Genomic DNA, 16,891 nt, shown 5'->3' with positions numbered 1-16,891 from the left:
ATAAAGATAGGGTCAATTACACAAATCAAAAAGGGGATATCACTTAGGATTGTATATCTACAAAAAAGAAGAACATTTTATTTTGAAAATTTAGATTAAAATATCTAAATTTCTTTTTTTTTAGATGGAGTCTTGCTCTGTCGCCCAGGCTCAAGCGCGGTGGCGCAATCTTGGCTCACTGCAACCTCCGCCTCCCAGGTTCAAGTGATTCTTCTGCCTCAGCCTCTTGAGTAGCTGGGATTACAGGTGCATGCCACCATGCCCGGCTAATTTTTGTATTTTTAGTAGAGATGGGGTTTCACCATGTTGGTCAGGCTGGTATTGAACTACTGACCTCATGATCCGCCAGCCTTGGCCTCCCAAAGTGCTGGGATTACAGGCGTGAGCCACCACACCCAGCCTAAATTTCTTAAAAAATACAACTTAATCAAAACTGACTCAAGAAGAAACAGGAAACCTGCATAATTCTTTATAAAAGAAATTGAATCTATAGTTTAAAACCTTCCTAAAGAAAAATCCCAACCCAGATGGCACTGGTGAATTATTCCAAACATTTAGGAAGAGATATAACCACCTTACACAAACTCTTTCAGATAATAGAAAAATAGGGAGCATTTCACAACTCGTTTTATGAGCATTACTTCAGTTTAAAAAGAAAAACCTGATAATGACATTAAAAGAAAGGAAAATCTTCCTCATGCAAAGACCTGTAAAAATCCTAAATAAAATACTAGTAAATCGATATATCCAGTGACATTAAAAAAAAAAAAAACGGTAATACATCATGACCAAGAGGGTTTACTTCAGGAAAACAAGGTTGGTAACAGTCTAAAAATCAGTCCATCAAATTCACCACACTAATAGAGTCAAGAAAGAAATTCTCAATAGATAGCAAAAATAAAAAATATTCAGTGGTATATAGATACTGTGGAATACTACTCAGCCATAAAAAAGAATGAAATAATGGCATTTGCAGCTACCTGGATGGAATTGGAGACCATTATTCTAAGTGAAGTAACTCAGGAATGGAAAACCAAACATCCTACGTTCCCACTCATAAGTAGGAGCTAAGCTATGAGGACTCAAAGGCATAAGAATGACATATTGGATTTTGGGGACTCAGGGGAAAGGGTGGGAGAATGGTGAGGGATAAAAGACTACACATTGGGTACAGTGTACACTGCTCGGTTGATGAATGCACCAAAATCTCAGAAATTACCACTAAAGAACTTATTCATATAACCAAACACCACCTGCTCCCTAAAAACCTATTGGAATAAAACCTAAATTTAAAAAACAAACAAATAAATAAAGATAAAATATATTCAACACTTATTTTTGATAAAAGCTCTTAGAAAACTAGATTGTAAATTCTCTGTTAGATTGTATGTTCCTTAAAGTAAAAAAACAAAAAAGTCTTTTTCAACTCTATGTTCCTCACATCACCTTCAATACTAAACTTTACCAAAGAGACATGTACTAAATATTCACTGAAGTTAATGCAAAAGTCCACCTTATGTGTCATTCTTTTCTTTCAGCTTTTTGAGGTAAAATTAACAAATAAAATTATATATATTTAATGTACAGTGTGATGATTTAATATGTGTACACATCATAAAATGATTACCATAATTAAGTTAATCAACACATTCACTTCACATAATTACCTTTTTATTTATTATTTTTTGTGAGAATGCTTAAATTAAGATCTACTCTCAACAAACTTCAATTATACAAGAGGTATTATTAACCATACTAAACATGCTGTAAATTAGATCCTCAGAACTTGTTCATCTTATAACTGAAAGTTTGTACATTTTGACCAATATTTTCTCATTTTACTCACCCTCAGATCTCGCAACAATCTATTTCTGTGAGTTCCTTTTTTTAGAAGATTTCCACACATAACTGAGAGCAACACTATTTGTCTTTTTTTGTTTGGCTTATTTTACTAAACATAATGCCCTCCAGTTTCATCCACATTGTCCCAAATGGTAGAATTTTCTTTGTTTTTATGGCTCAAAAAATTCCATTGTATAATATACCATCTTTTCTTTTTTGATTCATCCATTAACAGACCCCTAGGTTATGTCCATATCTTGGCTACTGTGAATAATAGTGCAACAAACCTTGGAATACAGCTATCTCCTCCAGATACTGGGTTTTTTCCTTCAGATATACACCCAATAGTGAGACTGTTGGATCATATGATAGTTCTAAATTTAATTTTTTGAGAAACATATGTACTGTTTTTTATAATGGCTATAACAATTTACATTATCACCAACAGTGTACAAGGATTGCCTTTCCTCTACATCTCATTTTCCTGATAATTAGTGGTGTTGATTACTTTTCCATGTACCTGTTGGCTATCTGAATATCTTCTTTAGAAAAATGTCTATTCAGGCCCTTTGACCATTATTTAATTTGATTATTTGGGTTTTTTTGATATTGAGTTGTATGTGTTTCTTATAAATTTAAATAGTAACCCTTATCAGATATATGGTTTGGAAATATTCTCTCCCATACCACAGGTTGCCTTTTCATTTTGCTGATTGTTTCCTCTACTGTGCAAAAGATTTTTACTTTGATGTAGTCTCATTTGTTATTTTATTTTTGTTGGTTGTGCTTCTAGTCTCATATCCAAAAAATTATTGCCGAGACAAATGTTAAGGAGCTTTTCCCCTATGTTTTTTATAGTAGTTTTATGGCATTAGGACCTAAATTTAGGTTTTTAATCCATTTCAAGTTAGTTTTTATAAGTCGTTAAAGATATGAATTGCCTATGATTTGAATGTGGTTTGTCTTCACCAAAACTCATGTTGACATTTGGCTCCCTATATGCCAGTATTGGGAAGTGAGGCCTAGTGAGTGATGTTTGGATCATGGGGGTGGATCCCTTTGAATAGATTAATGTCCTCCCTCGTGGGTAAATGAGTTCTTGCTCTATTGGGAATGAGTTATTTCCCACAAGAGCATATTGTTATAAAAGAGTCCGCTTCCTCAGTTTTCCTCTCTCTCTCACAACCTCTCTCACCATGTCAAATCTTTGCACATACCCACTCCCCCTCCACTTTCTGTCATGAGTGGAAAGAGCATGAGGTGTTCACCAGAAGCCAAGCAGATGCTGATGCTATGTTTCCTGAATTTCCAAGCCTGCAGAACCAAGAGCTAAATAAATTACTTTTCTTTATAAATTACCCAGCCTCAGGTACTCTGCTATAGCAACACAAAACAGACAAAGACAGGGGTCCAGTTTGGGTAATTTTTGCAAGTGGAAACCCATTTTTTCCAACACCATTTATTAAAGAGGATAGTTCTTTCCTCATGTATTCTTGGCACCTTTGTCAAAGATTAATAAACCATTTATGTATAAGTTTATTTCTGGGCTATCCATTCTTTTTCATTAGTCTATGTATCTGTTTTCAAGTAGGACCATATTGTTTTGATCACTATAGCTTTGTAATACACTTTGAAATTACTAAGGATGGTGCCTTCAACTTTGTTCTTCTTTTTTTAAAATTGTTTTGATTCATTGGGATTCTTCGTAATTCCATACAAATTTTAGGATTATTTTGATATTTCTATGAAAAATGCTATTGAAATTTTAATAAGAAATTGCACTGAGGCCGGGCACAGTCACTCACACCTGTAATCCCAACACTTTGGGAGGCCAAGGCAGGCAGATCATGAAGTCAGGAGTTCGAGATCAGCCTGACCAACATGGTGAAACTCCATCTCTACTAAAAATACAAAAATTAGCTGGGCATGGTGGCATATGCCTGTAATCCCAGCTACTCAGGAGGCTGAGGCAGGAGAATTGCTTGAACCCCAGGGGTGGAGGTTGCAGTGAGCCAAGATCATGCCACAGCACTCCAGCCTCGGTGACAGAGTGAGACTCTGTCTCAAAAAAAAAAAAAAAAAAAAGAAAAGAAAGAAGGAAGGAAGGAAGGAAAAAGAAAGAAAAAAGAAAGAAAAAGAAAGAAAGAAAGAAAGGAAGGAAGGAAGGAAGGAAGGAAGGAAGGAAGGAAGGAAGGAAGGAAGGGAGAGAAAGAAAGAGAAAGAAAGAAAGAGAAAGAAAGAAAGAAAGAAAGAAAGAAAGAAAGAAAGAAAGAAAGAAAGAAAGAAAGAAAGAAAGAAAAAGAAAGAGAGAAAGAAATTGCACTGAATCTACAGTTTGGAGGTAGTGTAAACATTTTGACAACATTAATTCTTCTAATTATAGAACATAAAATATTTTTCCTTTATTTGAGTCTTCTTCAACTTTTTTTTTTTACCAATGTTATACAATTTTTGGTGTACAAAATTTTTTACCATCATGGTTAAATTTATTCCTAAGTATTTTATTCTTTTTGATATTATTGTAAATGATGTTTTAATTTCTCTTCAAATAGTTTGCTGTTAGTATATAGACGCAGCTAACTTTCATATGTTGATTCTGTGTCCTGCAACTTTTCTGAATTTATTAGTTTAACAGGTTTTCTAGTTGAATCTTTGAGGTTTTGTATATAGGAAATTTTGTCAACTGCAAACAGGGACAATTTAACTTCTTCCTTTCCACCTTGGATGCCCTTTCCTTTCCTGCATCATTGCTTTAGTGAATTTCCAGTGCCATGTTGAATAGAAAGAGCAATAGCAGACATCCTTATTTTGTTCCTGATCTTAGAGAAAAAGCTTTCAGCTTTTTTCCATTGAGTATGGTGTTGGCTGTGAGCTAGACATATATGACTTTTATTATTTTGAGGTACATTCCTCCTATACCTAACTTGTTGAGTTTTTAATCATGAAAGCATATTGAAATTTGTCAATTGCCTTTCCCATATTTATTGAGGTGATCATATGATTTTTATCCTTTATTCTAGTAATGTGTTGTATCACATTTGTTGATTTGTATATGGTGAACCATTTTTTTTATTCCAGATATACATCCCACTTGATCATGGTTAAGTGTTAAATGGTAATCCTTTTAGTGGGATGTTAAATTTGGTTTTCTAGTATTTCATTGATGATTTTTGCATCTATATTAATCAGCGATATTGGCCTATAATTTTTTTTTGTAATGTCCTTGTCTGGCTTTGATATTATAGTAATAATAGCCTTCTAAAGTGAATTTGTAAATGTTCTCTCCTCTTCCATTTTTTTTAAGAGTTTGAGAATAATTGCCATTAATTCTTCTTTAAATGTTTAGCAGAGTTCACCAGTGAAGCCATTTGGTTCTGAGCTTTTTTTATTGGTAGATATTTTATTACTGGTTAAATCTCCTTCCGATGCATAGGTCTATTCAGATTTTCTATTTCTTCATGATTCAATCTTGGTAGGTTCTTTGTTTCTAGAAATTTATCCATTTATCCTAGGTTATCCAATTTGTTGGTGATAATTATTCATAGTAGTCTTTTATGGTTCTTTCTAGTTTTGTGGTATCATTTGTAATGTCTCCTATTTAATTTCTGACTTGTTTATTCAAGTCTTCTCTCTTTTTTTCTTAGTCTAGCTAAAGATTCGTCAGCTTTGGAATGCTTTTTAAAATTCCAGTGTTCAGACTGAGAATGAGATGGAATATGATGTGATGCAAAGAGGCAGTGAAAAAACAATGTGTGCTGGTGGGAAATAAGAGAAAATTTACCAGCTGCTATGAGTGGAAAATTGTGGGCAAAGAAATAAATGTTTGCAGTCTTTTTAAGAAACTTTACTATGATATGGACTATGAAGTCTCTAGTAATGGTTTACATGTTGGAAGTTCTGTTTAAAGTGATTATAGATTACCCACATTTACCTCTCTTTTTTCATAAAACACCACAGCATTCCAAAAAAGTGATAAAGTATACTTTTGATGATAAAAATAAAAATAACACAAAACATCAGCAAACATATCAGTTTCAGAATTTCAAAATACATAGAAATATGGTAGCTATCTTAGCAAATTATAAAGAACAGAATGCTAACTGCATGAGAGAGAAATGTTAAACTTGGAACCAACCCAAATGCCCATCAATGATAGACTGGATAAAGAAAATGTGGCACATATACACCATGGAATACTATGCAGCCATAAAAAAGGATGAGTTCATGTCTTTTGCAGGGACATAGATGAAACTGGAAACCATCATTCTCAGCAAACTAACACAGGAACAGAAAACCAAACACCACATGTTCTCACTCATAAATGGGAGCTGAACAATGAGAACACATGGACACAGGGAGGGGAACATCACAAACCAGGGCCTGTTGGGGAGTGGCAGGCTAGGGAAGGGATAGCATTAGGAGAAATACCTAATGTAAATGACGGGTTGATGGGTGCAGCAAACCACCATGGCACGTGTATACCTATGTACGAAACCTGCAGGTTCTGCACATGTGTCCCCGAACTTAAAGTATAATAATAATAATAAAAAAGAAGCAAGATAGTTTGTGATATATAATTCCAAAAGTCTCAGAAATTGGAAGTTCCAGGGACCCTTGAAATATGGTACATGCAGAGAAGAAAAGAATGATTTTAGGTCTTCATGGGGAGATTTGAATTTTTTTGCCTGTCTCTTTTTCAGAAGAGAATGTTTCCAGCTCACATTTTAACTGAGAACACAGCTTAGCTGACTACATACAAAGACTTGGGGCTTTGTCAAGTGTGGCTAAGTGACCTTTAAATCGAAAGCTTAGGTCATCAGCGATTAGGAATTGCTCCAACACTTGCTTATCTCTCTCTATTCACCTTGTTGCTCCAATTTGGCCTCTGGGTGTTTCCACTACATTCAAGTCAGCTCAGCCATTAATTTTGAAAGGTGGGTGTGAGTAAGTTTGGGGGGAAGAGGGTTCTAGCTTATTTTTATTGATGTATTTAATAGGGCATTTTTCTAATTAACAGATGACCATGTTTCTGGGAGTTTAACTCTTTTCTATATGCTTTTGAATCTCCTAAATACTTCATTAAAAGTTTTAAGGACAAGCTCCTAGAACACCTTTCCCAGCCTATCAACCAGACAACCAATCATACCTCCTCCACCCTACAGACAACTGGGAATTTACTCAACTGAAAAGGCTGAACAAGTGACACAAGATACAGGTGAGGAAGGGGATGATCTAAAAGGGGATGAATGTGACTGAATGGTGAAATCCTAAGTGCCTCTACCATACATGCTCACAGAATGCTTGCAGCCAGGTTCAGACCTCCAGGCCTAAGTCGGAGAAGCCCTCTGCAAAATGGCCAGCCTAAGAATGAAAACCTATAGATGCTGATATTTGAGAATCCGCAACAAAGAGCAATAATCCTACAGTAAAGCCAACTACTCACCAGCACCCTCCACACATGCACTGCTTCTACAGCTTTGTAGAACATCTAACTTAAACATGTAAAAAAAAAAGAGCTAAGAATTATAAGACATTTAAGAAACTCCTCCACATGAAAGGTAGACATTAAAATAAATAGGAAAAAACTTGCCTGAGAGACAAAACATAAAGCAGAAGAAAACTTATCCCAACACACTTATATTTAATATGCAAAAGAGAAGATTTTGTCTTCATAGAACAAGAAAAGGAGGCTATGAAAATGAACGAGCAGATTTAATAAAGACTGAATAACTTTGGGGTGAATAGCAGATTCTAAGATCTTTCAGACAGGGGAAAATAGTTACATAAAAGAATACGTGATCAGAATCTCACCAAATTTCATAATCACAATGTAAGAAGCTAGGCTGCAGAATGACACTAGAATAAAAGGGAGCAATGGTTTCAAAGTTTTTGGGGACAAGAGGCACAATAGATTTCTATATACAGCCAAACTATTAATTGAGGGTAAAGGTAGGAAATGAAATATTTTCGCATGTGCAAGTTCTTAAATAATTTACCTCCCAAGAATTCTTTCTCAAGAAAGTAATGCAAAATATGAGACCCCAAAATGAAGGTATAATCCAAGAAGAAAAAAGACAGGGGATCCAGAAAACAGGAACTCTACCAAGCAAGGGAGTAAACGGAATTTCCAGGCCAATGAAGAATAAGGATGAATACTATGCAGCAGCCTAGATTCAAACGGGGACAGAGACCTCCAGGAGGAAAAAGATAACCCTGAGCTAGTTGAGTAATTTTAACATATAGAGAGAAGATATACACTTCCGGTAGAAAGTTTGGCATGAATTATTGATAGGTACATTAAAAACTCAGAAAAATAAAAGAGGCAGTTATTAATGTAAGTCAAAACAAAGTTTAATCATCACAGACACTACAAGATGTGGCTCTGAATAATAAGGTAAACAGTAAATAATGATTTAACCAAAACGACGATATGTGTTTAGTGAGAAATAGGCTATAAGTCAGCAAAAATCCTCACTTTTTATAGTATTTTTCCAATAGATACTAAAATGGAAATATTGGTAGATATCAGTAGATATCAAAAGAAACATGTTATTTAGAAATCAGGAGATAAATTTCAGAAGACATGCTCCCAAAAAATCTCATAGCAATTGCCCCTGAAGAACCACATTCTGGGAATTGAGGGAAGTGTGGAGGATAAGAGACTACTGGTTTCATTATGTCTTATAGAACTATTTGTCTCTAAAATATGTACGTGCACTGATTTAAAAAGAAACAAAAATTTAATTTTAAAAATAAAATATATATATTATTCTTTAATATTTTTGGAATCATACGTGTATCTCATTTGAATGTGATTTCACTTTTTGGCTCCTTGGAGTCCAGCTTTGTCTAGTTTGTGAGCCTACTTAGTGTTCCAGGTGCTGGGCTAGATGCTTACTTGTATTCATATATTGGAGCCTCACAACAATCATATGAGGATGTTCATTGCACTTCCCCTTTCAGATAAGAGAATAAAGAATCTAAAATAGAGAATAAAAAACAATGTTCCAGCGTTTCTTGGAGCAAAGGGTGGTTCTGCGACACAGTTCTGGCCAAGGAGCTGTACGTAAAAATCTGCAGGCAGCTCATCTTTCTGCCAGGAATGTAGGCGTGCTACAGCCTTCTTAAATCAAGGAGCATACAAGCCACGCACAGACAATGAAGGCTAGAAAAAGCCTGGATCACCGATCTTCTCCATGAGCGCCAAGCCAGCTGGGACTATCTACCTCCAGACTTCTTGTTAAGTGAGGAAAATAAAAGTGTTTAAAAATATTTAAGCCACTCAAGTAAGATTTACTATTGCACATACCTAAACACAACTCAGCTAATAGAGGCTCCAAAGCCTCTTCTCTTTTCTAGGTCTTGTTGCTTCTCAGACACCCAATTTAGGCTGTCAGGAAAGGAGAGAATAGCTCCCAGGAGAGGGTCCCCCTTTTCAATGTTCTTTCACATTTCTCTGTGAAGGTACATGGAGGTGGGAGTCTCCAGAGAAGTGCTGATGGATTGCATTGTCATAGAAGCACCAACTTTCTAAGTCATAATTTTTCTGGCTTGGTGAGCTAATCAATAGAAGCTTTCCTTTTGAAGCTGTTTGATAGAATTGACTAAGATGGCAGAATTGCCTATGGATAGTCAGAGCCCAGGGCAAGGCAGGAATTGCACTGGACTTATCTGACTTTTTGTTATTGCTGTTGTTGTTGTCGTTGTTTTAAGTTAACTTATAAATAACAAGTATAGTAACAATGTCCTGTAGACTGAATGTCTGTTTTCCCCCAAAATGCGTATGTTGAAAACTGATCCTTAATGTGATGTTATGTGGAGGCGGGGCCTTTGAGAAATGATTAGGTTATGACGATGGAGTCCTCAATAATGGGATTAGTACCCTTATTAAAGGGACTCCAAAGAGCTCCATCCCCCCTCAACAGTGTGAGAATATGGCAAAAAGATGGCCACCTATGAACTAATAAGTGGGACTTCACAAGACACCAAATCTGCCAACGCCTTGGTTTTGGACTTCCTAGTCTCCATAACTGTGAGAAATAAATTTCTGCTGTTTACCAGCCACCCAGTCTACGGTATTTTGTTATAGCCGCTCGAACAGACTAAGATACAATGTTAAGGGGTAAGGAAAAAAACCACCCACATACCAACTACCCTACCACAACTATTTTCATTTTCCAGTTTTCTTAGAGTCCATGCACTCGTGCACTCTTACTTTTCACAGCTATAATCATATACATATAATTCAGTTTCTCTTTTACTTAACATTATCACAACAAATCATATTTTTTCCATGCACGGTCTCCATCATTTTCACTTTTATAATTTATTCTTTTATTAAATACCTACGATGTTATAGGCTCTAATGTTAAAGCTACAAATTGAATAATATTTTATCAAGTAGCTATATCATGGTTACTTGACCATTCCACTAAGGGGATGAACATTTAGTTTGTTTCCAATTTTTCCTTTTACATATAATGCTGCCATGATCATCTTCAGAAGCAAGTATAACTTTTTTGTTTGTGATAATTATTTTTGATTTTTGGCAGTGAGACTGGACCAAAGGCTAGGGATATCTTAAGGCTCTTAAGATACAGTACTGTAAACATTTTCAATGGGGGACTTAACCACCTTTGCTGGAGTTGCACTGGGCTTTCTTCTTCAGATCAGTGTCTTCTGAATCAAACTCTCAAACAGGTGTCATTGGTTGACAAAGTCCAAGTTACGTTCTGTGTTATAGCAGCAAGGAAAGTTGAGGAAGAAGTGAGTGTCTCATTTCCACCTTCAGACATGGAGATAGATGAGAAAATTTTCCCAGATGTACAAATATTTTTTTAAATGTTATGCAGCCAAAACTCATGCTTTCATTTTACACGAGTGAACAGACTGGGCCATTTCTCTCAGTTGACCCTACAATATGGCTTGAGCTTGCACCACTTTACTGAAACTATTCTTTCTAAGGTCTTGCTTGACCTTAGCTTCCCCAAACCTTCTGGCTAATCTTTGCATATTGTCTTGCTAAGTCCCTTACTTTATTTTGGTAATTCCTCCTCATTCTTGAAAGTTTTTTTCCATTTTGGTTTCCATGATACCATACTCCACTGGTTCTCTTTCTTTGTTTCAGACAATTTTTTGGTCCCCTTTCTAGTCTTCCTCCACTGGATGCCCAAATATTGTTATTCCTCAAGGTTTCCGCCCAACTTTATTTTCTTAAGCAATAGCATTCTCACTCATGGACTCAACTACCACCTTGTATCAGTCTGGCTTTGGTTAGGGAAAAAAAAATCATTTTATATATGCCAGATATGAAGAGTTTAAATATAGGGAACACCAAACCTTGAAGAATTCAGAGTAGTGAAGGTTGTGGGAACTGCCACCAGTATTCTCAGTAGCCATTTCAATTATCTTGACCTAAGCTGGTAGTTTTTGAGGGCTCTCCTGGAAGCATCTTCGAACCTGACATCTGCTCCTGCATCTATCTGCAATTGACTCTGGAAAACAATGACCTCTTCTCTCTTGCTTTCCAAATCTGCAGTGAGTCTCATCTCATATCTGCATTAGCCTTTCCAGAGTCAGGGAGAGCATCTGGTCACAGAATCCCCAGAAAAGCTGGCATTCACTGTGATTGGACTCCTTTAGCTAACATGTTCACCTCTAAACCAATCCCCAGTTCTATAGGTAAGGCATGTGACTTTGTCTATGCTAATCAGTACACTTCATCCTCCTAAACCCAGTGTAACTAACAGTCCATAGAAGGGGACTCTACCCCTTTGGAGCTACAGGTGAAATTAGCTTCCACAGAAACACATAGATCTCACTGAAATCTAAGCCTCTTAGAAAAGTGAAATAAGGAAGAGAGGAATCCTCAGGTGTTCAGTGTTCATCTTTACTTCCATTGCCTTTGTTTTCTCCTGAGAAACCATGATAATCTCATCATAACCAGTAACTCTTCCTCTAATCCATTTTCTCATTACAAAGTTATTTATGGAACATGTAAATCTGACAGTGTCACTCTCTGTTTAAAACCATTTGTGGCTGCCCTTCACCCTATTCTATATAAAGTCTCAGTGATCTGGCCCCATTTACCTCAAGCTCATGTCTCTCTGATTGCTGCCTCTCATTTCATACTCCGGCCGCATCCAATCACAATATGCCTGGCATAGTGCTGGTCATACACTATGTGCTCCACCGATGATTACTGAGTAAACTAATGCATGAAAAAATGAGATGAGATGAGATAAGACGGTTTGCTTCCATTCTGAAGTAAAACTAAGGTAGTCTTCTGGTTTTTTTTTTTTTTTGTATCCCACTTTTCTCTCATTCTGTGTGGGGCTCACTGCACAGTGGGTGTTCAAAGATGCCTGTTAACTAACAAAATTAGAACATTCATTTTATTACCCAAGAAAGAGCTCCATTGAATTTTTTATTCCTGGCAATTTAAAAAGATTTTTCTGGGTTTTATAATTATTGGCCTGTTGTAGGATAAGGAGTGGGTGAAAGAATTCATTAGCTCATTAAAATACAATGAAAGGAACATAATTAAAACATTTAGGCAATTTCCGTATCACAGAAAATGAATAATCAGACGTACAAAACAAATCCTCAGCCAGTTGCTTGGCTGAAGCAAGCCCACACTTCCTGCTTTCTCATAACACTGTCAACTGGCTGGTTCCCAACACTCTTCTCTATCCACTCCTCACAAGAGAATTTGCTTTAATGAACTCTATTCTTAGTGCAGAAAGCTTAAGTCGTGGTAGCATAAATTATGGCAGGGAAGTACTCTGAAAACCTGGAGAGGGAGTATTAGGGTTTCCTTTTCCCTATCTGCTTCTAGTAGTTTGGTTTTGGCTCAATAACTGTACCTGCCACTGTGCTCAGTGAGTTACCCACATCATCTCATTTAATTCTCCCAAATGAGGTATATCTAATTATCCTCTTTTCATGAATGGAACTGAGGTTTAGTGATATGTCCAAGATCACACAGCCAGTTAATAGAATCAAAACAAAAATAAATGGTTTTAACCAGACTCCCAAGAGCCCCTGCTTTTAAACATTATGTAAACCGGAATAGTCAAAGGATTTCCTTCTTTGATTTCCATGGCACTTGGTCCTCCCCTGGCTGCAATGAGAGGATTCAACGCTCCCCTGACCCCCATGCCATTAGACAATTAGACGCAGCAGCTAGCGCTGCATGTTTGATGAGTGACTGTCTAATGCTGTTCTCTTCCCTTCCCTACTCCTTGCAACTTTTGCCATTATACCTTCTGCTGATCCTTGGTTCCATTACTCCCTCACATATCTCCTCGCCTGCTCATCAGTTTCCAAGGATCACCAAATGTCCTTGAGTTCCTCCCAGTAAAATATGGAATTTCTGGATAGTAACACCTGAAGATCTGATGACACAGAAGGAACAGCAGCTTCTCATCTTAAGATGCTCAGAGGAAGAACACAGGGATTATAAGCCTACAGCAGCAATACCCAAGAGGTAAAGTACTGCCAAGCAGTTGGCCTAGGACCTAGAAATGGGAACAAGTTCAATTTCTACTTTAAATGACATTATCTGGGACATCTCATATTAGACACTTCCAGATGCTTTCGTATTCACTATGTCATAAATCCTACTAGGAGACCATGTATCTTTTTTTTTTTTTTTTTTTTTGAGATGGAGTTTTGCTCTTGTTGCCCAGGCTGGAGTGCAATGGCACAATCTTGGCTCACCGCAACCTCCACCTCGCAGGTTCAAGTGATTCTCCTGCCTCAGCCTCCTGAGTAGCTGGGATTACAGGCATGCACAAACACGCCCGGCTAATTTTTTGTATTTTTGGTAGAGACGGGGTTTCTCCACGTTGGTCAGGCTGGTCTCAAATTCCTGACCTCAGGTGATCCACCCCACCCACCTCGGCCTCCCAAAGTGCTGGGATTACAGGAGTGAGCCACCACACCTGGCCAAGACCATGTATCTCATTTGACTTATTCAACTAACATATCCTCTGCAGAGCCATAAACTGGAATGTTGACACCCAGGGCAAGTGCCACAAAATGGCCACTCAAACCGGTTTTATAAGCAAGGCCTGGTTTGCAAGTGGGTGTTAAAAAAATGCTTTATCTTTTCATTTTAGCTAATTATTCTCGCTAAGGAAAAACTAAGTTTTTGTTCATGGGAATGTGTAACAAATTTTTAAAATATAAAATCTTTTTAAAATATATGAAAATTATATACCCTCCATATTCTGATACCCAAATATAGTTCTGAAACTCTATGTGCAGAACAGTGCCTTGCACATGACAAGACAACCTTAACATTCTCCTCAGCTTAACTGAAATTAAGACTGATTTCCTCCTGACTATAGACCCCTGACTTTCCTTTCCTTAGAGCATTTACTTTAGAAAGCTTTCAATTGTAAATTATTTTCCTGCCCTTTTGAGATGTAAATCATCTCCCAGCCTTTTGCCAGATTTATCCAAGAATGTCTTTCTCAAGAACCTGAGAGCTATCCCTTTGAAATGAAATCTTCAAAAAAGATAGCGTTCCTATCTCACAGTCTCTGTGAAAAAGTAGGAGCCTATATTAATCAGGGTTCTCCAGGAAAACAGAATGGGAAAAAGCGTTGGGCAGAGAGGGGGCATATTATAAAGAATTAACTCATATGTTTATGGAGGACAGTTAAGTTCAAAATCTGCAGAGCCAATGTTTGAACCTGAAGGCTAGACTCTGCTGTAAAAGCAAGAAGAGTCAACGTCCCAGTTGGAAGACCTTCAGAGAAGAGCCACTGATCCAATTTAAAGACCACTAGGCAGGAGAATTCTTTCCTTCTTTGAGGAAAGTCAGCCTTTGGTTCTATTCAGGCCTTCAACTGATTGGATGAGGCCCACCTACATGGAGGACAATCTGCTTTACTCAGTCTGCTGATTTAAATGTTAATCTCATCCAAAAACACCCTCATAGAAACAACCAGAATAATGTTTGAGTACCATCACAGAGCCTAACTTCAGTAAGTGCCAATTAGCAAAGACAAATTGCCAAATTACATTCACCAACTTACCACCTAATGTTCTCCAGTGCTTTTCTGCTAGTTCATATTTGGGCTTAAAAATCTGCCCACCTTTTATTTCAGTGAAGTTGAGCTCAGTTCTATACTAAAATCTCTCTTTTACCGCAGTAACCCAAATAAAATCTGTCTTTCCATTCTTGCCAGGCATCCAGTGCAATTTTTCTTCAACACAGATTAATGAAGACTGTACGAGCAAGTGATCTACCAAACTAAAAATCAACCCTGTAGGGTAGGTATCAACATCTCTGTTTAGCTACTCCTATAAATAAAAATAAATATTAATGTGTACTTATTATGTGTCAAGTACTGTGTTCAGTGATTTATGTGAATTAATTTACTTAATGCTCACCACTACTCTATGTATTAGATACTCAATTATTCCCATTTCACAGAATAATTATCTGAGAATTAAACAGATTAAGTAACTTACTAAGGTCACATCGTTTGTATATAGTGGAGTCAGAACTAGAATTAAAATTGTTGTAAAGAAATAGCCTGTCTCGAAAGCCACATTTCTACTCAAAATACTATCTATTTTCTTTCCTTTTTTTTTTTTCCACTAGAAAAAAAACACAGAGCTCTATTATTCTCAACACCAATGGCAGCGGTCTTCATAGGCCAGCGGAGTGAGTTCTGTCGACAGATAGGTGGCCCCTACTTGCTGGCGATGAGTGGGTTCCGCAGGACCACGATGACCAAGTCCCCGTGCAGGAACATCCTGGAGATATAGCAGTCTTTGTTGACTGGCTTGGACTTCTTGCCCTTGCCGCTCTTGGGTACCTCAGTCCACGTCTCCTTCACGTTCTCCAGCACCATGTTGCAGTGCCTGTGGAAGGCCTTCACGTGGCCCAGGAGTTTCGTGTTGTGGCGACAGTTGATGAGCACTTGCGTGTTGTTCTTGACTGACTGTGTGAGCACAGAAAGTGGACCCGTGTTAAATTCCTCCTCCTCTCGCTTCTGCAGCTCCTCTGGGGTCATCTCACTCTTGGACTTGTTAAGGAGGCTCATGATGGTCACTACGCTCTCGGTTCATTCCCGTTTCCTCCGCGTTGCTGCTGCCTGAATACTATCTATTTTCATAATGAAAACTCATGCTGCCTCTCTTTTCAAATGTTTTGGATTTGAAGATGCAGCCGCCCAGGGTAATGATGACCCACTACTGATCTATGTAGGTGAAAAATCAACAGCTAGGAATGGAGTCCACAATTTTCATGAATGTGAGTTTTATGTTGTTTTAGTCAGCTCAGGCTTCTGAAACAAATACCACAGACAGGGTGACTTAAATAACAAAAATTTATTTTCTCTTAGTTCTGGAAGCTAGAAGTCTGAGATTAGGGTGCCAGCATGGTCAGTTTCTGGTGAAGGCCCTCTTCCTGGCTTGCAGACAGAACTTTCTTCCTGAGGGCTTACACGGGTTTTCCTCAGTGAGTGCATGTGGAGAGAGATCTCTCATTTCCTCTTTTTGTAAGGCCACCAATCCTATCTGATTAAAACAATGCCTCCCCAAACCCCCCTTGGCTTCATTTAACTATAGTTGTCTCTTAAAAGCCCTGTCTCCAAAATATAGTCACACTGAGGGTTAGGGGTTCAACATGAATTGGGGCAGGGTTGGGAGGGATACAATTTAGACCACAGCATATGTAGGCACATCTTTCATCCTCTTCTCCTTGGCATGGTCACAAAGCCCTCAATATCTGTTTGAAGGGAAGAGAATAAGTAGAATAAGTCTGAAGAAAATAGGTAGAAACCAAAGGTGGAAAGTGAAGACAAGTTCAATCAATCATCAGAAATGACAGAGACAGGATTGCAGCTGCCTGAATTTCTACCTGAAGTCTTGGGGGAAAAAATATGTCTGAAGAAATAATAGAGCTAATATCATAGACCTTCAGTGAAGAGAGACATGCAGAGACAGCAGAAAGAAAAATCTATCAAGGTGAAAACTGAACAAGACTCTATTCTGCCAGCAGCGCCGAATAAAAGCAGACTTGCAGAGA

At 37.5% G+C, this 16,891-nt stretch overlaps 1 pseudogene; it reads right to left on the bottom strand.

Annotated features, from left to right (window-relative positions):
* On the bottom strand, positions 15,454–15,960 carry SNRPD2P1 (small nuclear ribonucleoprotein D2 pseudogene 1; annotated as a pseudogene).

The sequence above is a fragment of the Homo sapiens genome, chromosome 10 (genome assembly GCF_000001405.40).
Source record: "Homo sapiens chromosome 10, GRCh38.p14 Primary Assembly".
Classification (NCBI taxonomy): Eukaryota; Metazoa; Chordata; class Mammalia; order Primates; family Hominidae; genus Homo; species Homo sapiens.
The sequence above is the reverse complement of the archived record's forward strand: the minus strand, read 5'-3'. Positions and strand labels throughout refer to the sequence as shown.